The 23929-nt window shown below is 54.3% G+C and overlaps 1 protein-coding gene across 15 annotated transcripts in view; it reads left to right on the plus strand.

The window, feature by feature from the left end:
- The window catches only part of COL27A1 (collagen type XXVII alpha 1 chain), a 158414-nt gene that overhangs the window by 91545 nt on the left and 42940 nt on the right, over positions 1 to 23929 (plus strand). For 11 of the 15 annotated variants that reach the window (XR_929860.4, XM_011519138.3, XM_047423992.1 and 8 more), the window contains 12 exons: positions 224 to 268; positions 4973 to 5026; positions 6951 to 7004; positions 7237 to 7290; positions 12899 to 12952; positions 18713 to 18766; positions 19282 to 19326; positions 19424 to 19468; positions 19780 to 19833; positions 20923 to 20976; positions 21862 to 21915; positions 23599 to 23652. Coding sequence is in view for 14 of the 15 variants with exons in the window: in XM_011519138.3 (XP_011517440.1) it covers positions 224 to 268; positions 4973 to 5026; positions 6951 to 7004; positions 7237 to 7290; positions 12899 to 12952; positions 18713 to 18766; positions 19282 to 19326; positions 19424 to 19468; positions 19780 to 19833; positions 20923 to 20976; positions 21862 to 21915; positions 23599 to 23652 (621 nt within the window). In the remaining variant the exon portion in view is untranslated. Of the gene's footprint in view, positions 1 to 223; positions 269 to 4972; positions 5027 to 6950; positions 7012 to 7236; positions 7291 to 12898; positions 12953 to 18712; positions 18767 to 19281; positions 19327 to 19423; positions 19469 to 19779; positions 19840 to 20922; positions 20977 to 21861; positions 21916 to 23401; positions 23440 to 23598; positions 23653 to 23929 lie in introns of those variants that run through there. The other 4 variants (XM_017015239.2, XM_011519140.2, XM_047423994.1 and 1 more) reach the window with 4 other exon arrangements.

The following is a 23929-nucleotide window of genomic DNA, read 5'->3' on the forward strand; positions in this document are numbered from 1 at the left end:
CTCAGAGGGAATGGGTGACTAGAGTCATGTCTGCCTGAGGTTCTGTCCAAGTACCCCTTTGACTCTGCCCATTTGTTGGGGGTCTCCAAGGCCACACACTGGAGATAAGATCCCTGGTTCATCCCCACTAATGGCAGCTAAGGCCAGCAGGCCTGGGACTTCCCCAGGAGGTCTAGACTTTCATCTCCCATCCCAATCCATCCTCCTCTTTGTCTCTTTGCAGGGGGAACCAGGGGATCCTGGTCGGCCGGGGCCTGTGGGAGAGCAGGTTAGTTAGCAACGGTCTCTGAATGAGTGGCTCCATTTATTGGGCCCTTACTCTGTGCCAAGCCCTTTGCCCAGCACCCTCCATGCACCACCTCGTGTAATTCTCAGAACAACTCCAGAGGTAGGTTCAGTCCTCTACCCCTTTCACGAATGTGGACGGTGACCCTCAGAACGGGGAAGTCTGTAAATGAGAAAGCTGTGGATCATAGTCACGACAGCTTTTCCCCACAGCCTGACTCTACACACAGGTTTTTGGTGCATTTGCCCAAAGAGGTTATGTGACTGCTCCCCCAGGACATTAAAACTGGAGGAGCCCTTGGCAGTCGTTGCTCGTGTTCCCATCAGCTTATAGATCAGGAAGCCAAAGGCCAGAGAAGTGTTACCACTTGCCAAGGTCCCTTGGTCTAGGCATCCCTAAATTATATAGAAGATGAAATCCAAACCAGTGGCTCTGGCTGGTTGAGAAGCTGGGTCAAGGTCTGAAGAAGAGAAGAGGTTGCAACTAGTCATTAAAATGAAGGTTTGAGGATCACGACCTTCAATTAAAGTCCAGAGAAACAGCTCTGAGGGATGGGCAGAGGGACAGCTTCAATCCTTCCTGCCCAGCCCTGGGGCCTCCTGAAAGCTTAACCTCTTGGCTCCAAGGTGGAGAGGTGTTCATCTCCTCCACTCCTTTAAATATGGAGCTCATTCCTGGAAGGGGCTTCCTCAATCCGGAAGGACTGATGCTGGGGATGGCCATAGAGGAATTTGGCCGCACCACGAAACCCCGTCAGTGGCGTGAGAGTCACACACGATGGGCTTCCTCACCAGGCCTGCAACATCTGTTGGGGGAAGAAAGGAATTAAAACAGGGGGAGGCCTGGATTTTTGAAATCTTTCCAGTGTCATTCGAGCGCATTCTGTGGGAAGCCCGGGAGTTTGGAGAGGCTGCCGCGGCCTGGATATATTTCCTGATTGGAAAAAAAAAAAAAAGGCAATTTGATCAGCAAATTCAGTTTCATAGTTATGCTAATGGTAGGGCCCTCGGGAAATAGATATGCAGGGTCTTGGAAGTCAGAGCACAAAGATCCTTGGAAATCACTGTATCTAAGAGCCCTAACCATATTTTGTGCCTTGGATTTCTTTGCCAGGCTGGAAAGGCCCAGGGATCCCCTTCTCAGAATAGAGTTTATAAATGCATAAAATTAAAAACAAAGGAAACTGATTATATAGAAATGCAATTATGAAAATATGTTAAAATATAATATATTCATATATATGCTTCTTTGGCAATGCATTAAATAATGAGTTCTAGTAGCAGGTGTAACAGCGGCCTCAATTTTGAAGTAATGCCAAGCCTTAGTGATGTATTTTGAGATCTCTGCAGCAATGATTGTAATGTGCCATGTCACTTTCTGGGACAGTCCCAGGTCCTGGTAGTACTACTGTGGTTTGTTGCCTACACTCATATTCGAGGCAAATGCTAAATTTCAATTAGAGGTTCATGAAAATGAAAGAGTTTTAATTTTTTTCCATTCAAGTTGATATACCCTCTGAGTTCCATTCATAGAGACTGACAGAGACCCCGGGTTTAGAACCCTCAGATTCTAGTCCATGTTGGCAATCTGGGATTTATGGAGGAGAAGCACGTTTGACCAAGATCACCAAGTGGGATAGTGGTAGAACTAGGCCCAGGAGGGGTGGGAACCTTGCCTGGAGCAGCCCAGTCTCATTTGGTCAGCAGAACACCCGGCTTGCTGCCCAGGCAGCTTGGACAGTAGCGGGAAGGAGGCAGAGCTGGAACCCTGTGGCTGCTATAAGGCACATGGAGGTACCATGCCAGCCGTTCCCTTGGCCCCCACCCCATGTGGTCACAGTGAAAGGGGAGGCATTTTCTGTTCACTGCAGGATCAGAGGATCCCTGGGAAAGTTCTGAAGCTCACACCACAGGACCTCCTTGTAATCATAGTACTGGGTCGGTGCAAAAGTAATCACAGTTTTTAGCATTATAATGGCAAAAACTGCGATTACTTTTGCAACAACCCAATAACAGTGACATTTATTAGTCACCTGTTAGGTTCCAGACTCTGTGCCAAATGCTATCTACACAATCGTCTATGGCAGTAGGTATTACTGTCCTCATTTTGCAAATGAGGAAACTGAGGCTCTGGGAAGTTAAGTAACTTGTCCGAGATCTCACAGGCAGTAACATCACTGTCAGAGGCAAGATTGACCCTGAGGTCTGCTGGGTTCCCAATGCCTGCCTCGAGGGCTGAAAACTCTCCGACCTCCTGAGCCCTGGCCTGTCTCTAACAGAGCACAGACTGGCTGCCAGGCCCTGGCCGAGGTGCTGGGAACAGGGCATGGGTCTTGCCTTCAAGACACCCCGTCCAGGGGCAGCCACGCATATAAACACGTCACACTGAGCTGTCTAGTCCAGCTCAGGGTCCATAGCCCTCTCATTCTCAGTTGCATCCCCAGTGCCTAGCATATGAGAGGAGGAAGAAAACTTCCGGTAGCAGACAATGGCCCTTTATCTGTAGGCAATGTGAGGACCAGGCTAGCCTCCTCCCCAAAACTGGGAACTCGGATCCTGCCTGTGCGGTGCCCGCTGTGGGTAACAATGCTGCCTCCTCCCATGCCCGCCTTGCCAGCCCTAGAGGAGCCAGCCATGCCCGCAGCTTTCCAAGCTGCTTCTCCGTTGACCTGCCTGGACTTCTGGGCCTGGCCTCTCTGGACCAGCCTCAAGAACAGGCCTGCCAGGATGTTCTGGGACAGTACCCCGGGGGGGTCCCAGGGGTGCGGGTCGGGGGATGGGGCACTTGCTGTATGGCTCTTATTCATTAGGATCTTGTTTGGTTTCTTGTTAGAGGTTTATGACCCGCTTGCCTTCCAGGACCCAACATCTCATAAATTTAAAGTAGCTATGAAATTTCTGTTTCTCTGGGCCAGTCAGGCAGGGGCCTTTTAACAGAGCAGTTTTTATTCCCTTCATTCGGCATCCTCTAAATGTCTGACTGCTCCCTTGTGGGAAGCCCAGGCCTCTGTCTTACCCCTGTGCCCTTGTAAAATAAATTAAGAGGGGATGGGAAAGAGCGAACATGTATGAAGTACCTCTACGCATCGTGCACCATCTCCCGTATTCGGAACAGTGCCAGGAAGTAGGGAGGTACCTTTATTGTCTCCCATTCTGCAGATGAGGCTCAGAGAGACTGATTTGCCCAGAACCCACACACCTGAAGACTGAATGACAGTTACATAGATAAAGTGCCAGGTACAGGGCTTGGCACACAGGAAGTGCTCAATACGTTGAAGCCGTTGTTATAATATTGCTATCACTTAGAAAATGCTCTAATTAATTTTTAAAAATAAGTTGTTGCAAAAATCAAGTATTTGGTTATTTTCTGTGAAATGTTAGCTGTGACCTTATACCTAGTGCCTCATCCCTCTTACCTTATACTTCAGAAAGTTCTCTGAACCCAGGGAACCAGGGGCAGGTGCAGGATCCACCATGCGTAGTGCCAGCGTGGTGCTGGGATGTACGGGAGATCCGGGCCCTGTTCACAGCCACATGCTTTGGAGGCCTTGGGCTGGAGGGGAAGGTGCGTGGTCTTTGGAGCCACACAACCAGAGCGGACATCCCAGGCTGCAGCAGCAAGACACGTGTGGCCCTCGCTGAAGTGACCACTTTAAAACTGTCTTTAGATAAGAAAGTGTGGATCCCAGAGGTAACCCTCTCATGGTAGTTAACTGACAGCTGGGCCGGCCTTATTGACTGAGTACACAAACTCTGGCCTATTCCTGGCCCAAGGTCTCATTTTACTCTGGCCAGGGTTTGGGGGACAGGGAGCGGATTTTATGGACAAAATCCACTCATCCCTCCATCTTTCCTAATTCACCCAGAACCTCTTGGCTGCAAATCTGGGTTCTTCCAAAGCCACTTCTGCACTCCTGAACCACACAAGGCCCTCCCGGCTCAGTTTGTATTTTCCTTAGCAGGGAAGAAGGTGGGGCCTGAATAAGAAATTGATGGGCCTTCCTAGGTGACCCCTCTAGGCTGTCCACCCTCGCTGCGCGTGTGCGTGTTTGCTTGCTCAGGGAGACGGCAAGGACTGGGGCCACCTAGAAGAACCCCCTGGAACCCAGAGGCAAGTTGTCACCCAGCGGAGTTCAGCAGAGCAGCAGGAGCTGCAGCGTGTGTCTGTGTGTGCACCCTTTCAGAAAAAGGCAAGGAGGCCTTTCAGAAGACAGTAAAGAGGCCTCCGCCTCCCCGATTCCAATCAGTTCTCTTGGCGGAGGCTGTTACGGTATTTCTGTCCCAGCCAGCGGGTTTGTTTCACTCTTTGAAACAGCCCCAGAGCCCCGAAAGATGGGCACAGATGGCCTCTTCCCAGCTCAGCTTAAGCCACCCCCCGCCCAACCCCAGCTCTCCAAACGTGGCAGCCTCCCAGCCTGCTTCTGGCGCGGGAAGAATGTGTGGCGCTCCCAGGGATGTTGGCAGCGGCCCCGCTGCTTGGCTTCAAAATCAGAACCATCTGGTGGAGTGAGGGAAGTCAGAACGGTGCCCAGAGAGAGGCAGCGCTCTCCCCGGCACAACCCCATGCTGGCTGGGTGACCAGGCACGGGTGGGAGACACCTGGGAGATGAGCTTCAGGGGAAGGAGCGGGAGGGCTGGGTCCCCGGATTCACGTTGTTTCTCTTGCTTTCGGGAATGTGTCTCATAGGGATTTATGGGATTCATTGGTCTGGTCGGGGAGCCAGGAATCGTGGGAGAAAAGGTAAGTGGTGTTGAGGGGAAAAGATAAACAATTAGAGCTTGTGTTTTGAAATTGTAAAAAGGTGAAGAGGCCCTTTGACCTGGGGATTTCAGAATACCCTCCCCTAGCCTCTCTCCTGACCTGGCATTCTGAGTCTGCCAAGAGACATTGTTCCCTTTCCTGGCATCCCTTGGGGTTCTATCCCTGCCCTACTGTCATCAGCCTCAAGCACAGTTAGACTTTTGTGTGACAACCAGCAGATGCATGTGACCTGGGCTCCTCACAGCTGCCTACTGGCCCTGCACAGGGGTCGGCGAGAGCAGGGAGGAAAAGACTCATCTTTACAAAGAGGAAAGATGAGGTTGCCTTGCTAAGCCTCTGTTTTAGATGAGATAACAGAGGCTCAAATAGGGGAGGTGACTTACTCCAGGTCACCCAGATAATAAGTGGCAGTGCTGAGATTTGAACCAGGTTCATTGCCAAAGGTTAGCTACACTTTGCTCACTAAGACACTCTGCCTCATGTTGGCTCCCAGCTCCCACCAAGGGCCTTGGAGGCACTTGTCTTCCTTTGTATGGGTTTATCCGATCCCCAGAGCAGGCCCTCTGGGAGAACCAATATTATTCCCATTGAATAGATGGAGGAACTGAGGTCCAGAGGGAGGAAGTATCCCCCGCAAGTCTGGCCCCGCCTAACTCTCCAGGATCCTCTTGTGCCACACTCTATCACTCTATGTGGCCCAGACCCTCGGGCCTCTGCCTTCCTCCTCCTCCTCCTCCCTCGCTTCCCCCTCCTCCTCCTTCCCCTTCTGCTCCTCCTCCTTTTAAATTCAGCTTTTTATCTTGAAATTTTAAATTTAACTTTTTATTTTGAAATAATGACAGATTCACAAGAAGTTGCAAAAAATAGTACCCTTCACCCTGTTTCTTCCAGTGGTAGCATCTTACATAATGATAGCACAACATCAAAGCCAACTCTGGGCTTCTGCTGTTGCTCAAATGACCCATGTCCCTTCTCACCTACAAACCATTGACTGCGCCATTCCCTTAGCCAAATGCTTTCTTCCCATTGCCATCTGCCTCCACCCTTTCTGCCCAGATGCTCTTCATTATCCTTCAGCTCTTGGGTCAAGAGGGACTTCCCGAGGGAAGCTTTCCCTGACCGGCTCTGCCCCCAAGTGGGTCAAGTCCTCCAATAATAACACCTTAGCACCATGACCCCCACCCTCACTGCACTGTGTCTCCTACAACCCTCTGAGTGCCTTGCTCCATGGGAGCAGGGCTGCTCACCATTGTATATTCAGAGTCTCGCAGATAGTGTCAGACACATAGTAGGTGCTCAATAGATATTTGCTGGCTGGGTGGATACAAGAAACAGAGCCTCACGAAAACAGAGCCAAGATTCGAACCCAGAGCACCTACCTTCTGGCTGGAGCTGTCTGCTACACTGCCAACTCTGCCCAGTGTGTCTGGATTGGTCGAGAGGGAATGAGTTATGTCTCTGATTCTCTAGCATCTCATCTAGGTTTGGACAGGGAGTTTGGAGAGTGAAAGACATGCCTTCTCTTGCTGTTTCTGCCTCAGCAAGCCTAGCCCAGGGGATGCCAGGCCTAATAAGGACCAACATGATGTGGGCCAGGATCAAAGGGGACAGTGTAATTAGTGCTTCCTTAATCAGGACCATCCTTGGAGGGAAATTCACTGCGTGGCCCACTACAGGGGATGCTGAGGCCTTCCAGGGCTTGCCAGAGGTCTTGGCTTCCTCTGAGTGAAATCCCAGATCCCCACCTGGGTGATGTGGCCATGAACTAGGCAGGGACCCTCTAGAGACCTTGAGCAAACCCCTACCTCTCTTTGAGCCTCTGGATGGCCCTCTGCACCTGCCTCCCACAGAGCCACCCCACAGCCATAGCCGTGACCTGCCTGCATTGCTGTCTCCATCACAGGGTGATCGTGGCATGATGGGACCCCCAGGCGTGCCTGGACCCAAGGGGTCGATGGTAAGGAGTAAGTCTGCATCCTCTTGCCCTCTCCTGTTGCAGCCTTGAGTGACAGCTCTGCTCTCCTCCATGAACCGCTTACCCCAGACGTTCAGAATGACCAGCTCCCTCTTTGTCCAGGGGGCCTAGCTGCTGTCCTCCTGGCTTTGCACTGGGGCTGAGCCGACCGAGGTGGGACTGAAGGAGGAAGCTTCCATAGCTGATTCCTCCTTTGTCTTCTCTGTCTTGGCAGGGTCATCCTGGAATGCCAGGTGGTATGGGGACCCCTGGAGAGCCTGGACCCCAGGTAAGCAAAGCCCTCGTGATCCCTAAGCTCAAACCACTGTCAGATAAGGGTTAGGTGGCTGGGTGTGGTGGCTCACACCTGTAATCTCAGCACTTCGGGAGGCCGATCACTTGAGGCCAGAGTTCAAGACCAGCCTGACAAACATACCAAAACCTTGTCTCTACGGAAAATACAAAAATTCGCTGGGCGTGGTGACACGCACTTGTAATCCCAGATACTCAGTAGGCTGAGGCATGAGAATCGCTTGAACCCAGAAGGCAGAGGTTGCAGTGAGCCAAGATCGTGCCACTGCACTCTGCCTGGGTGATAGAGCTAGACCCTGTCTCAAAAAAAAGAAAGGAAAAGAAAGAAAGAGACAGAGAAAAAGAAAGAAAGAAAGAAAGAAAGAGAGAGGAAGGGAGGGGAGAAAGAAAGAAGGGAGTGGAGGAAGAAAGAAAGACGAAAGAAAGAAAGAAAAAAGAAAGAGGAAAAAAGACAGAAAGAAGAGGAGAAAAAAGAGGAGGGAGGGAGGGCGGGAGGGGAGGAAGAAAGGAAAGAAAGGAAAAGAAAAGAAAGGAAGGAATGAAGGAAGGAAGGAAGAACAGAAGAACAGAAGAGAAGAGAAGAGGAGAAAAAGAATAAGGGTTAGGAGTTCAAGCCTCAGAATCAGACAGACCTGGGTAGAATCCCAGCTACACCACTTTCTGACTATAATCCTGGGGCAGATCTGACTGTATTCCTGGGGCAGATCATTTAACTTCTCCAAGCCTGAATTTTGCTCATTTGAAAAACAGAAAAAAGAATCATGGTCAGGATAGTGTGATCGTGTGGGTTAAATGGAAGCGTGGGGCTAATGTTCATTACAGAATGGTGTTTGTTCCCTGGAAGCATTTTGGTTATTAGCAGCATTATTGCTTTTGTCCATTCACTCATTCACTCTGTAGTTACTGAGCGATAAGTGCTTGTGGGCAGTTTCAGGAGCTGGGTGAAGGGGCCCAATCTCCACTCACTGCAACCTCCACCTCCTGGGTTCAAGAGATTCTCGTGCCTCAGCCTCCCTAGTAGCTGGGATCACAAGCGTGTGCCACCACACCCAGCTAATTTTTGTATTTTTAGTAGAGATGGGGTTTTGGCAGTTCCAGGAGCTGGGGATGTGGCAGCAAGAAAGGTAGAAAGTGGTCCCTTCCTTTGGAGCATGTAGTCTGGTATGGGGGGGCAGGGTAGATAGAACCCAGTAAGTGATGTCTGTTCTGGAAGAGCAGGCACAAAGATGGGAAATGCTGGACAAACAGGGCTGAGGGTCCTCAGGGGCCTGGGCTTCTCATGATGACTGAGGAAGCAGGGTTGGTGGGAGGCTCTCAAGGCAGAGTGGTGGGAGAGGCTGGGAGAGCTGGGGGAAGGGTGCGGCCAGGAGCACTCAAGTTCAAGAGCCCCTTCTCCTTCCCAGGGGTGATGATGTGCAGGGGGTGGGGGTGGGCTTGCTCTCATTTGGAGCAGGTAGAACTTGCTTCAGATCCCTGTTTCTGCCAATGGAGGATGGAAACTAGGAAAGGGCACTCGCTTCAGCCAAAGCCAGGGGTCAGGGCTGGGAGCCCAGTCCGAGGTGGGCTTGGGGAAGTTGGGGAGGGTGTGGGGGTAGAGGGACCAGCCCAGGCACAGATCCGGAGGTAGGGCTGAGGGGCGATGAGCTCAGGTTGCCTGGGTGTCTCCAAAGTCCAGACTGAGGAGTTCCCTGGGGTCTGATGAGGAAGGGCCCTGAAGCCTTTCATGGTTTGAACCCAGGGGAAGCTCGCATAAACCTGTTCTCTACTGTGATTAGGGAAGCAAGGCCAACTCAGCTCCTACACTTTTTCATGCACCTGCTGTGTGCTAGCATAAGCTCCTCCCTGGAGGTACAAAAATGGTAAGAAAGAGTTCCAGCTCTTAAGACTCTCACTGTCTGGTGGGGCTGTCAAGTATAAACATTCTCTCCATCATTAACAGACTTTTATCGAGCACCTACTCTGTGCCAGGCCATGCCAGGGGCCGAGGAGGTAGAGGGGTGGACTAGTCCAAGGGTGAGAGGCCTGGATATAGGTGACCGTCACCCAGAGGAGAAGGCATCAGCACCAGGGGTCTCTGTCCATCCTCATGATTCTTTGGACAAGTTGGAACGTTCTTGAGGAGCACAGTTGGAAGCAGAAGCCAGCACTCTGGGCTCCCAGTGACATATTTTTGCCCTTTTCATGAGAAGGAGGAAAAGTCACATCTGGCCCAGGGCTGGAGGAGCTGGCAGTGTGGAAGTAGGACTGTTGGGGTAGAAGCAGGGGGTCAGAGGACCAGCATTCTGGTCAGGGGGCTAGCACGGCTGGCCGAGGCACCCAGCTTGGAATGCAAGGGCCCGGCCTCCCTCCCAGTGGTCAGAGATAGAGTGATTGGAGCCCTCAGCATGGGGGGTGCCCAGAGTAGGGCCGAAGCCTGAGTACAAGGATGCTGGGGGTACATCATCGAGTTCTATCCCTGGCACCCCTGCACCTCAGCCGTCCTGGGCCTGTCTCCCCATCTGTCTAGTGGGAGGAGGAAAGCCAGGAAAGGAGTCACTGGGACACAATGGAAGGCCAGCGGGAGATGGGGAAAGAGTGGGGATATTCAGGCCAATACAGAGAAGAAGGTGCAAGCCTCCTCTGAATCCCTTGCCTCCCTGGCTCCACTCACCTCCCCACCCCACCCCATCTCCTCAGTGCTTCCCCCTCTTCAGTGGGTTGGCTCAGGCTTGGTGAAATCAGACGGTCACTTACTGCTGTTTCTGATCCCAAGGTTGCCATGGTCCCCCACTGCTACGGTACAGGGCTGGTCCCTTGGATCTCTTGGGGTTCCTCCTGGCCAGCGACACTGGGGAAGCCGGCTAGCTCGGAGGCCCAGAAAACCACCTTCAGAATCAGATACATGGGGGTGAAATTCTGGCTCCCCGACTTGCCGGCTGCGGGATTGTTGGCAACATTCATAGCTTCTCCGACCCTCAGTTTCCCCATCTGTAAGTCAGCATGATGCCACCTGGAGTATGAGATTGTCATCGGAAATGGTGCAGTGCATGATGTGGTGTCTCACAGCCCTCCTGCATAACTGTGTGCTTCATGAATGGTGATAACTATTTGTTAGAGATGATCATTGCCACTATTATGAGTAAGGCTACTACGATTAAAAGTGACATTTCTGGTGATATTGTTCACACCTGATTGGCATTTTCCCACTTTATCAATCACTTTCACCTCCATGTTGTCCGATAGCACATTGAGATCTATCAAGATTATTATCCCCAGGCCAGGTGCAATGGCTCATGCCTGTAATCCCAGCACTTTGGGAGGCCGAGGCTGGCGGATCACGAGGTCAGGAGATCAAGACCAGCCTGGCTAACACGGTGAAACCCCGTCTCTACTAAAAAACAGAAAAAAATTAGCCGGGCATGGCGGCGGGCACCTGTAGTCCCAGCTACTCGGGAGGCTGAGGCAGGAGAATGGTGTGAACCTGGGAGGCGGAGCTTGCAGTGAGCCAAGATAGCGCCACTGCACTCCAGCCTGGGCGACAGAGCAAGACTCCATCTCAACAAAAAAAGATTATTATCCCCATTATTGGGGGTGGGAGTGAGGCCCTGGGACCTGCCTAGGGTCGCCCTGGGACCTGCCTAGGGTCACCCAGTGACCAGAGTTGGGTCTAGCATTCAATTCTGACCTCCTCCTGCCTTGCGAGAGCAGGCAGCTACCTTTTCCTGAGGACTTTGTCACTTCACCTTCTAGAAACTCTAGGGGGTAAGGACTCTTCTATCCCCATGTTATAGATGACAAAACTGAGGCCCAGTGAGTTGAAGTAACGTGCCTAAGATGGCACAATTAGTAAGTGGCCAAACTGGCATGTGAGCCCGGGTTCTCCAGTGCTACAGCCTGCTCTTTTCAGCACTCTATGCCTTGATGTAGAGACTTGGCTCCCGAAATTTCCCAGCGGTGCATTGCATGCCTTCTGAGCTCTGAGATCACTCTATAAAATGGCCCATTCTCACCCAGTCTTTCTGTTCTCCACCATCCGGGAGTCAGAACTGCCTTTTATGGGGCCAAGCCCGGGTCCACACCCTGCTTGCTCTACTGACGAAGGGTCAGCCTGGGACCCAGCCCCTCACATCAGCCCCTCCACAGCAGCTGTTGGAGGGTCTGCTGGGTGATAGCGGCTGGGTTCACACCCCTCAAAGCCATGGGGAAAGGGAAATGGGAAAGTCAAGAGTTCGCTCTGAGGCACCAGATGGGGCTGGGCCTCTCCCTGGTATTCAGAGGAGGGATGAGACTGGCTCTGCCTTGCAAAAGGAGCACGCCCAGTCTGAGAATTGCTGCGGAGCTGGGAGGCTCCTGGAGCTGGCAGAGGGTCCTGGCTGGCCGGTGGATGAAGTTGCTGCTTGAGGTCTCTCAAGCTGGGCCTGGAATCGGGGTGGGGGCGGGGGAGACATTAGGCAGAGGGGTGGCCTGCTTCCCATCTTCTCCTGTGTTCCCTCCGTTCCCACCCTCTGCCCTCTTCAGTTCATGTGCTCCTTGTTCATTCAGCAGATTCCTGAGTGTCTGTCGTGCACCTGTGCCAGGCCAGGTGCCGAGAATTCCAAGAACTAAACTGGCCCTCTCACCCTGTCTCTCTTGCCCCTCTTGTCGTCTGTTCATCAAAACCAAGATGGCTGCCCATTTGCCCGGGGCTGGGCCTTGCTCCCTTCTCATGCCACCCCACCCACTTCTCTGCCTCTGCCTCCCCTCTCCTTCTCTCTTTCTTGATCCTCTCCCACTCTGCCCTCTCCGCCTCCCAAGCTCACCCCAGGCCTGTGTTCTCAGTTCTTCCTCCTCCTCTTTTCCCTGGGAGAAAATATTCAGGAAAATATTGGGTGTCAGGGTGGAGGTGAGGGACAGAACTTGGGTCACCAGATTCTCCTTTCTGGTGGGGGAGAAAAAGGGAGATGAGGATTTGAGGAGACCTTTTGTCATACATGTCATTGTAGTCTGGATGCAGTGGCTCACACCTGTAATCCCAGCAATTTGGGAGGCTGAGGCAGGAGGATCACTTGAGCCTAGGAGTTTGAGATCAGGCTGGTCAAGATAGTGAGACCCTGTCTCCACAAAAATAAGAAAATTAGCTGGGCATGATGGTGCATGCCTGCAATCCTAGCTACTCAGGAGGCTGAGGCGGGGGGATCACTTGAGCCCGGAGCTCAAGGCTGCACTGCACTCCAGCCCAGGCCACAGAGCGAGATCCTCTCTCAATAAATACATAAATGAATGAATGAATGGCATCGTATCTTCTCATTGTTGATTTTGAGGAAAAGGAGAAGAAAATGTCATGCAGGGGGCCTTATCCCCACTCCCCAGACTCCCAGGAAAGGTCGAGGCCCATCCCCCTATAGCCCAGGGCATTGGCTGTGTTCGAGGCTGTGGCTCGCCTGCTGCTTTCCCCAGTGAGCCAGGTGCCCAGTCCTTCCATGTGGAGGCTGCTGGGGCCCCGGCAGCTTCTGAACATGCCCGTCTGAGGGCTGCAGGCCTTCAAGCTTTGCCCCACACTCCCAGCCCCCCGTGTTGCTCTCACTTCCTAAAAAGGGGCCTCTCCAAACTCTTTCTCCTCTTCCCAGGGTCCTCCAGGATCTCGAGGCCCACCAGGCATGAGGGGAGCAAAGGGACGTCGGGTAAGTCGAGCCCAGCTCCTGGGGGCTGATGCTGGTGGGAGGGGGCACACTTGGAACAGGGCCATCTGCCAGAGACTGCCTGGGCTTTGCCCCTAGCCCAGCTCTGGGATCTGTGACTTTCATAGCACAAGGCAAGGTTCTAGGCTCACCCTGGACCTGTCTCTAGGGGTGGGACCCCACCCCTCTTTCCAACTCATTTCTCAGCCTTGCTATCCACCAGGCACAGTCGGGCTCTCCGGTACTAGTTCTTTGTTCATTCATTTATTCAACCAGCACTTATTTAGCACCTACTGTCTGGCGGACACTGTTGGAGGCTCTACAGGTATAGTGGTGAACAGGACAGACATAACCCCTGCCTGCCCTTGTGAGCCAGTCAACAAGTGAATCAAACCACTTGGCAGATGCAGGTGATAAAATACAGGGTCATCAGCACATGGACTGAGGAAGTATTAGCAGCCTGGAAGCCCAGAGGAGGACCCTACCTGGGCAGGGTACTAAGGAAGGACTTTAGGAGAGGGCAGTGCTTGAGTTGATGCCAGCTTCCTGGCAGGGGACTGGCAGGGGAAGACCTGAAGGTGATACAGGAGGTGGATGCTTAGGTATCCTCAGGGTCAAAAGAGGGACGAGGGAGAGGGATGGGGCTGGGACTTAGCAGGCACCAAGCGAGGCAGGGCCTCAAAAGCCACAGCTATACTCCAAGGGCATTGGGAGGCTGCAGGGGGTTTTAAACAAGGCTTCCCTGAGCAGTCACTGGAAGTAATCGCCAGCACTTAATCTATGCCAGATACTGCCTGTCACACACATTAACTCATTTAATCCTCAACACTACCCTGTCATGAAGGTGCTATTCTCATTCCCATTTTATTATTATTTTATTATTGGATTACTTAACCTTTCTCCCAGAAAGCCTTTGATTCCTGGGATAAACTAGGTGCTATGTGATTCAGCCCAAGCCCTGAACACCTCTGAGCCTCCACTCCACTCCCAGAGAGGCACAGAAAGGTTGAGTCACTTACCTCAAGTTGCACAGCTAAAAAGTGGCAGAGCTGGGATTTGAACCCAGGGAATCTGGCTCATTTGCATACTGAATTCAGCCTTATTTTCAATCACACAGGGAGGGTTGACAGGATGGTCTGCCAGCAATAGGTATACAGGCGTGGGGCCGTGCAGCCTTATTGTAAAGAGAAAGTGAGATGGTGCAGGTGGTGCCGGCAGCCCAGGCCTGATATCCAAGCTCCATACGGGGGGATCTGTGATTATTATTCTCCTCTTGGCTGGATTTCAAGTGGTTTTACAATTTCCCCCAAACCAGATGGCCTGAGCAGCCGGCCTGGAAGAGGGAAGATTAAAAGGCATTCCTGTGGCCCAGCAGGGTCCCTCCGGTGCCCATGTCCTCTGGGTGGGGGGGGGGTCTCTTCAAATGGGCCTTGGGCCAAGGGCAGCCAGGCTCCATCCGGATCCTCTGTACCTCCCCTCCTGCCCCAGGAAGCTGGATTTCCTGGAGGGTGAGCTGCATGGGCCCAGGCCCCCTGCCCTGCCTCAGGCGCGGGGCTCAGGCCCCCTTCAACTCACTGGGCTCCCTTCAACCATCTCCACCACCCCTTCCCAGCAGTGGCTTGAAGAACGTATTCCTGCTTAGGGAAACACAGGCTTCCAACCTCGTCAGTGTCTCCCGGGCTGGGAGGGGAGCATCAGGAACATGAGCCCCTCTCCCCACTGGGTTTGTCAGGAATGCACAACCTATGAGATCGGCCCCCTGGGTCTCCTGCCAAACAGGCTGCCCTTCGCCACCTCCTAGAGGAGGTGACTGAAGGTGGGGAACCTACAGAGGCACCCACCGTGCCTGTGAAAGAGCTTGATTCTGGGCAAGTCCTGATCAGCTCCCGGTTTGCCCTGTGCCCTTAGCAAGGCCTTGTGGCGCTCTGTGCCTCAGTTTCCCCATATGTGCCACGGGGAATGGGCCTGGAGGTCTGAAAGGCCTTGCCTGCTTTCCTGCCTATGTGTAGGACGGGCCCTGCTCCCCACCCCACCGCCCACCCAAGGAAGAATGAGCACTGAGAGTTGATGGCCAGGGGCAAGGGAGGCTCTCATCCTCTGTTCTTGGTGAGGACGCTGACTAGAACCTGGGCCCACCAGCCCCAGTGAAAAGAATGAGGACTCTGGGGTCAGATGGGCCTACGGCAAGTCTCAGCACCCCCGGTTCCCAGCTGTGGAACCCCAGGCCGGTTTCTTAACCTCTCAGAGCCTTTCTCCCACCTGCTCAGGTTAGAGACTTTAATTCCTCCTTCCGAGGGGGTCGTAAGGACCCCAAGATTCCAATGCCTCGGGCCAACTCTTCCCCTGCCTGTGGGTGTTAGAGCTTAGCAGACCTTACCCAAATCCAGGCTCTTCCTCTTGGATCTTAGACCTTGGGCCACTGATTTCCCATCCCTGAGCCTTCACTTCCCCCTCCGTAAAACGGGTTGGCAACAGAACAAAGCTGGTGGGCTGGCTGTGGGGACTCAGTCACTGCCTGAGCACCTTGAACTTGCTGCAGGGTGGCAGCACGTGATGGTGTGTGCTCATTCCCGCTTGTTCATCGGCCCCTTTTTCACAAGAGCTGTGGTTGGCCAGATTTTCTGTCCCAGGCAGGAGCTCCTCCCCACCAAGCCTGATCCCCAGGCCTGGCTGGAGGGCAGTCTCCAGCGTGCCTGCAGACATCTTCCTCGAGGAGCGGATACAAGAGAGCAGACAGGTAGCTCTGATAGAAACCCAAGCTTCCCTCCAGCAGGCGGGGCGGGGGTGGGCCTGCCCAGGTTCATTTAGGGAAGGAGGCAGCAGGACTGGGGAACCTGCGGGATGAACTGTTGAGTGGCCCAGAGCAAGGGTTAGAGTGTGCGGCTGTTCTCGCCCCTCTCCCTGCCCTGTGGGGCTGGGGAGACAGGGTGGCTGGTGGCCCCACTACTGCCTCCTCCTCTCTCTTAAGCCAAGCCAGCTTCTCCCGGGTTCTCTGGTGCTCTGCTGGGATAGTGAGTTCTCTCAGATAAGAGGGATTTTAGATATTGTCTTCTCCAACACCAGGCCCCAGTGTGCAGCCTTCCTGGCAGGATCCTCTGGGTCCTGACCTGTATACCCCCGGTGACGGGGAGCTCACTCCATTTCTGAAAAACAGTGACAGGTAGTGGTGAAAAAAATGGATGTCCAGCTGACTTGGTCTCAAATTCTGGCTCCTCCATTTCCTAGCTGTGTGACCATAGGCAAGTTCACCACCATCCTGAGCCTGTTTCTGTCCCTGTGAAAGGAGGATAACAGCTTTCACTGCTCCTGCGGTGGCTGCTACTGCTCTATTATTATTTGATGACTTAAGCTTTCTCCCAGAAAGCCTTTGATTCCTGGGATAAACAAGGTGCTATGGGCTTCAGGCCAAGCCCTCAACACCTCTGAGCCTCCACTCCCCTCCCAGAGCTATCCCTTTCTAGGGAGGTGTATGTCTCAGCGAGAGACAGAGCCCAGAGCCAGAGATCATCCCTCAGGAGGGTTCAGTTGTCTGCCATCAGCTCAGCCCCTGTCCCAGCTCCCATGACCTGACACGGCCCCACCCCATGTGGCTCCAGCTCCGCCAGGCCTGTGCCCATGAATCACGGGTGTTAAGCCTAATGACGTGGTGTGACAGTGTCCACGTGAGCCTGAGACTGAGGCCCAGAGAGGAGATGGGGCTTTTCGGGGTCACACAGCAAACCAGCAACAGGCTACGGCTAGCACCTGAGCCCCGTAATGCCCACTAGAGATGGCTTGTTTAGGGGTTCATCAAACTGCAGCTTGAATCTGAAAATTCTCAACTGGTTTTACACAGCATAGTGTGAACTGCCTGAGGAAGGGACTGAGCCCAGATTCCCCAAGCCACTCCTGTGTCCCTGCCTCTGGGGAGGCTGCCCCCTCCCCTGGCAGAGCCTGGCAGGGATGGAACTAGCCATTCTTAAGCACTTTCTGCGTGCCAGGCACTGAGCTGCCTGTGGGCATCGCCTCCTGTCTTGAGGGAGAGATTTCTTGTGCCCATTTCAGAAAAAAGAAATGGAGTCTCAGTGAGGAGCAGTCACTTGTCCCCAGACACATTTCCTGAGCAGCCCGGTGCCTAGGGCTGGACCCCACAATGGGCACCAGGCCCTGGGCTTGGGGATGCTGAGGACAGCGTCTCCCAGCTGAGCCTTGGCCTTGCCCGGTGGCTCCCTGTTCCAGGATTATTTGATCAGTGGGGTGCTCTTTAAGGCTGCGGTGTGGGATTGAAGCATAGGGAGCTCCAGGCAGCTGAGAAGTGGAATTTTCACTTTGTTGGCCCAATTATTCATTGAAAATTTCCTTGTTTGATTTTTTTTTTTTTTTTTTGAGATGGAGTCTCGCTCTGTCGCCCAGGGTGGAGTGCAGTGGTGCGATCTCCGCTCACTGCAAGCTCCGCCTCCTGGGTTCAAGCAATTCTCCTACTTCAGCCGCCTGAGTAGCTGGGACTACAGGCACACACCACCATGCCTAGCTAATTTTTGTATTTATAGTAGAGATGGGGTTTCACCATGTTGGTCAGGCTGGTCTTGAACTCCTGACCTCATGATCCGCCCACCTCATCCTCCCAAAGTGCTGGGATTACAGGCGTGAGCCACTGTGCCCAGCCTTCCGCCACTGTGCCCAGCCTTCCTTGTTTGATTTTTAAATGATTTTTCTTCATTTAGTTTTCTTATTCCCCATCCTCTCCCACCTAGACACTTCCCCAGTTCCTTTTATCTGGGGGAGTATTGCGGGCTGATCCCCTGGGCTCCCGGGCCAGGATGGGCTGGCCTCCTCCACAGGACACTCCTGTCCTCCCAACACAGACTGCTTGAGACCCCCTAGAGAACACAGCCTGCTCTGTTTTCCACGGGTTTTTTCCAGGAGAGCCCAGCCCATCTGCGTCTCTGTGGGAGCGGCCCTGGAGGGGACACACGTGGGGCAGTGGGTGGAGCCCACATGGGGGATGAGAGCGGCTAATGTGTTAGGGACCTTAGCTAAGTCACTTCCCTTGGCTGGGCCTTAGTATTCCCATCTGTGCAGGGGGGATGGGGGTGGACTCCACCTGCCCCTGGGGTCTCCCAGCAATCAGGGACCAAGACTCCTGTGTCAGGGGTCAGGCCTGAGCCCAGGGCTCCAGGGAGCAGTAGCCTGACTCCCACTCCCTCGTGCAAAATCCTGCCCTGTTCCTGCCCCCACCTCATGGGCTCTTCCTCTGTGAGCTGGGCTGTATTCGTTGTACGTCTGGCTAGAGATGGGGCTGCTCCACACATCTGGGAAGGACATGCAGGTTCTTCCCAGGTCCTGCTCTGTCAGTTTCCCCTGAGGGCTGTTTCTGCCCCGTGTGTGCTCTGGGAATGGCACATGGCAGCAGAGTCTGAAGAGTTGGCCGTGTGGACGTGGCCACGTGTAACTCAATTGCGGCCCTCAGTCTCCACGTCTGTGAAATGGATTGGCTGGGTGACCCCCAAGGTCTCTCTGAACAGGGCCATTAGTGCCCCAGCCCCCTTCTGGAAGCATCAGCCTCTAGCTGAGTCTACTCATGCTGCGGCCTCTGCAGAGCTGTCTCGAAGGCGCTGCACGAGGGTGACCACCTCAGTGGGGAGTGTGTGGGAAGTGGGAGGAGGAGGGGGCCGGAGCTTGTGCAGGGGAAGGCCCCAGGCTTGGAGCAGCCCCGCCCTCCTGGTTCTCCGCCCGAGGGAGACCCCTGCTGTCCGGTGTGCTAGTCCCTTTTTCCTATTCCAGGGCCCCCGAGGACCGGACGGACCAGCTGGGGAGCAAGGGTCCAGGGGCCTGAAGGTACCGACCCCTAGGACCTGCCCTTCCTCACTCCTCCGACACTGGGTCAGGAATCGTGAACAAGGCTCACAGCTCCTCAGAACAATGCCCCTTAGGGACAACAAAGGGAGCCCCATGGAGGCTGCAGGGCTCTTTCTGAGAGCTTAGCCCTTCCACTCCTCCTGACCCCTCACTGCAAGCCCAATAAAGAGAAAGCAAGAAAGGAGGAGGGAGATCATACACGTCCTCAGACCCTTTCCCCGGACCCCAAACCCCACCAGGCCCCTGACAGCTGAGACTGCTTCTGGCAGCCCCATCCCTAGGAAGGGGTCCTTGGTTCTCCACCTGGAGCAGCTGGTGACGGTGGCGAGCCACTCCCCTTGTCAGGCCTTAGTTTTCCCATCTGCACCATGGAAAGGGGGCAGACTCTGTGGCCTCAAACGGGTTCCTTTTATCTCCCATGTGGAGGGGTCCCTTTTTGGGGAACGGTCCTCCCAAGCACCCTCTCCCACCTTCACGTGCTCTGCTTCCCACAGGGCCCTCCAGGACCCCAGGGCAGACCGGGCCGGCCTGGACAGCAGGTATGTCAGGCCAAGGCCAAGCAGGCCAGCTGCAGGCCCCCTCCCTGCTCCGTGCTTTGTGATCTGAGCCTGTAATGACCCCCACATGTGCTTCCAGGGTGTGGCTGGTGAGCGAGGCCACTTGGGCTCGAGAGGCTTTCCTGTAAGTAGCACCAGTTCTTGAAATTCTCTACATGGGGCTTTTGATGGGGGTGGGGGGCGGGTGCGGTGCTGATAATAACCACTTTTACCAAGTTCCTGTCCTTCTGTGGAAACCCCGCAGGTTCTGGTTGCCCACCTGCCCTGCACTGAAGCTCCTCCAGCACATCCTCTCTTCTCTGGGTCTCAGCCTTCCCATCTGTCACCCGGTGTGGGAGGAGGGGACCCAAATACACTAGGATGGCTTGCTTGAAATCAAGACAGGGCAGAGAAGGCCATGGAGGGCCTAAGGTCACCTTTACCTTGTCTCTGCAGGGCATCCCGGGTCCCTCAGGCCCCCCAGGCACCAAGGGCCTCCCAGGAGAACCGGTAAGAGCCCTTTCCTTCCCTCTTCTGCTTCTTTGCCGCTGGCACCTGGGGGTGTGGGCCAGGTGGTCAGATAAGGAGAAGGGTTGGAAAGGGACCATGCCTGGCCTCTAACCCGCTGTGGGCCAGGCCTTGGGGTTGGTGGCGAGCACTAAGCCAGGAGCTCTGGGTTTGAGGCTCAGCTCACTTGGCCTCCAGCCTGTTTTCTTGCCAGGAAAATGGGGGTGATTGTCTCTGCCTTGCCATTCTGTTGTGAAGATGAAATGCGAAAATGTATAGGGAGTGCTTGGCACAGGGAAAGGCAGGAGGGAGGGAGGTGAAGATAAGAGTAAACGAACAAGCTGACCGGGAACTGCAGAGTCCAGCATGGCTGAAGTGGAAAGCGGGACCTCAGAAAGGGCAGGAGGAGGCAGCAGGCTCCAGTCGCCCAAGGCCACGGGGACACTGTGCTTTTTATCCCAAGGGCAACAGGGAACCATGGAAGGGCTTGAAGCAGAAAGGGCGATCAGCTTGCCTTCCAGAAGATGTCCCTGGGAGGACAGGTGTGGGGGGACAGTCCAGGAACCCCATGAGGAGGCTGGAGAGTGGTGCTACAAGAGATGGCAGAGAGAGGACAGAATCTCCAGGGGGCTAGAAGGATGACTCCTGCACAGGGCAGGGGAGGACAGGAGGCTCCCATCCTCAAGGCCGCTGCTGCATTCCCACATCTTGAGGCCCAAGGAGTCACCCTTTTGAACAGTGGGTTGGCTGGGGGTGGGGGTTTCCAGACATGGATCCGAGGTGGAAGAGCGTTCCAGGCAGGGGCAACAGATGAGCAAGACTCAAGAGCTAGGAGGTTTCTGATCAGGGAGGGCCCCCTGGGCTTTAGGTGGGTGGATAGGAGAGTGTGCAGCTGTGTTGGAGGGAGTATGACAGATACCAGTGATGAAGAGGGGCTGCAGACACCAGGACCCTCGGTGTGGCTGGGGCGGACTAGGGGTGTGCTTCAGAGTCCCCAGTTCTGGGGGTCAGCTCCCTCATTCACCCCTCCAGATCCCAAAGAGGGCCCAGGCTGACCTCTCCCAACTGTCTGTGTGTCTGTCTGTCTTCCAGGGCCCTCAGGGACCCCAGGGGCCAATTGGGCCTCCAGGAGAGATGGGACCCAAGGTGAGTGTGAGAGACCCTTATTCGTCCCATGATGCTGCTGGGGATGTATCAGCCCTTCCCTTCCCTCCTCCCCAGGAGCCTCTTTCTGCCATTCCCTGTCCTGGCCCAGGGAGATGGTCATGTACCGTGTAGTTCAGAGAAGGGTGGACGCCCTGGCAGAGAGGGTAGATCCATCCTGGTGGCATAGGTTGAGGAGCTGGCTCCTAGTCCAGGGGCATTGGGTGGGACACAGAGGTACCAGGACCCTTGTGGGGGTTGGCATTGCCTCTTTGGGCATCACTGGAAGCATGGATGCTTCCCAACCTTGACCTTGCTGGGACTTTGCCCCAGCAGAGGTTTGACTGTCCATCCAGCCCCCAAGGGTCATGCAGCAAGGAACTTGGAAGGAGCCTCGCACACCCCTGCCTTATCCAGAGGGAAAAACCAAGCCCCAGGGTTTATGCAAGGGCTGCAGCCATGCCCACGGTGATAACTCAGGGCTGCTTCCCACCCGCCTCACGCTGGCTAAGCTGTAGAGAGAAGGGTTAGAATCACTTGGCCCTAAACACAGCATCCAATGGCTTCCTCCCCCGTCTTTTTGTGAATCATGAAATTTTCTTCCCTCTGCTTGCCAAAGGGCTCCTAGTGTGGTAAACCACACTTGTGGGGCGGGAGAAGGCTCTAGAAGCCTCTGGGTAGTCCCAAAGCTCAGCCAGCCTGGGCCCACCCCCAGCCCCCTAGTTCCAGCTCCAAGCTCCAAGAAGCTACAAGCTGCTCCCACCTCTGCATCTCTTGCACTGTGTGACCCTGGGTGTTCTCTTGCCCTCTTGGAGCCTCAGTTACCCCCTTGCTTACAACCAGGGGGCAGCTCTTGCTCTAGGAGGGACCAATGGCGTTTTCTTTCAGGGGCCGCCTGGTGCAGTGGGAGAACCGGGCCTTCCTGGGGAAGCCGGGATGAAGGTGAGGTGGGATGAAAGAAGAGAAAAATGACTTGTTGAAACCAGCTCCCAGATGGTGGCCACATCCTCTCCATGGAAGAGAAATGGGCCTTTCTTGTGGCTGGGATAATGGGTTCTCTGTGCTCCTGGCTGGGGAGTGGGGCCTGGTTAGGGCCAGAGTGGAATGTGGAGCCCCCACCAGTGCCCTCTGCGAGGTAATGTTTTTTCGGGCACCTGCCCCTGCCTCTATGCTGGGGTGGCTGTACCTCCTGGCCTCATGCGATACCATCTGCAGCTCGGTGCCAGTGCCCTTCATTACCTGCTGAGAAACAGGTGCCCATTGATACATGGACTCTGGGGAGAGCCCCCTCCCCATTCTGCTGTTGGAAGAGGACGCTGTTCCCCCTTGGAGGCCCCAGAGCTGATGAGTGATGCTGGCTAGCCCGTGGACATTGTTGAGGCAGGGCCCAGGGGAGCCCGCAGAGGGGCTGTGAGACTTGAGTCCAGTCACCCCCTTCCATGCCTAAGTCTCCCTGTCATTCAAAGAGGGAGTTGGACCAGGCCGGGGGCTGCCAGACTTGGCCTAGTCCCAAAATCCCTTGCTCAAACACCAATGAAGAAAACCACCCCACGTAGAAAACTGATAGAAGTGGGATTGTTTCCACTGGAGCAGGGCTGGGGGCTCAGAGCTCTGCCCTCCTCCTGTGCCCCTAGACACCAGCAGGGAGCATAGCTTGAAAATTCACCAATGAAGAAACCACCCCACGTAGAAAACTGATAGAAGTGGGATTGTTTCCACTGGAGCAGGGCTGGGGGCTCAGAGCTCTGCCCTCCTCCTGTGCCCCTAGACACCAGCAGGGAGCATAGCTTGAAAATTCTCCAATGAGAAAGACCCTTTTAGGGCCTTTATGCAGGGGGCAGGTGACATTTATTCCGGCTCATTTAGGGCTTCCTCCTCGTTTGGGTTTCTCTTCAAGTCTCTCAAGGAAGAATAAAGTCACATAATTGCCATTGCTGCATCCAAGGCTCCTGGAACCAGACTGCCCAGGTTCGGATCATGAATCTGTCACTGAATAGTCTCACGAGAGCTTGGGCTCCTTACCGAACTCCCCCAATGCCTCTGATGCTTCACCTCTAAAATAATGCCTTTCCTTGCAGGGCTGTCTTGAAAGTCAGATATGTTAATATAAAAACTGATGTCCTCAGCCTGGGCAACGTAGTGAGACCCCATCTCTACAAAAAATTTAAAAATCTGCCGGGCATGGTGGCGCATGCCTGTGGTCCCAGCTACTTGAGAGGCTAAGGTGGGAGGATCACTTGAGCCTGGGAGATCAAGGCTGCAGTGAGCTGTGATTACCCCACTGCACTCCAGTCTGGGCGACAGAATGAGACCCTGTTTCAAAAAACAAACAAAAAAAGTCCTTAGAACAGTACAGAACAGTACAGTTAGTTATTAATAGGATGATGGTGTTGGTGCTAATTGTCCTCCTGTCCTGGCGTGGGAGAAGAAGTCCGTGGACAAGGCTTACTTGGAACAGGAGCTCTGGTTGGTGTTTTACGATTTCTCTGTGGTCCCTGGGAAGAAGGACCTTCCCCAGCTCCTCCTCCCACACCCCAAAGTCAGAGCTGGTGGAAACAGGAAGGGGTGTCGAGAGCTGGGGCTGGCCCTACCCACCCGCAAGGACTTTTGTTCGGCTTCTCCTAGGGTGACCTTGGACCCCTGGGCACTCCTGGGGAGCAGGGCCTCATTGGGCAACGGGTAAGTTGAAGCAATTTATTCTTCCTGAAAGCCCCCAGGGTGTGTGGGTGCCGCAGGGGAAGAGACCGGCTTTTCTCAATCTCCCTAAGCCTCAGTTTCCTCAGTTACAGAAATAGACTATGAATGTCTACAGCCTCGCCCAGTCTCTCTTGGTAGGCCAGCATTTCCACAGTGTAGAGAAAGGCATTTTGTGGTCTGTAGTCCCAGCTACTCGGGGGGCTGAGGCAGGAGAATCGCTTGGACCCAGGAGTTGGAGGTTGTGGTGAGCCAAGATCAT

Source organism: Homo sapiens, chromosome 9 (genome assembly GCF_000001405.40).
Source record: "Homo sapiens chromosome 9, GRCh38.p14 Primary Assembly".
Classification (NCBI taxonomy): Eukaryota; Metazoa; Chordata; class Mammalia; order Primates; family Hominidae; genus Homo; species Homo sapiens.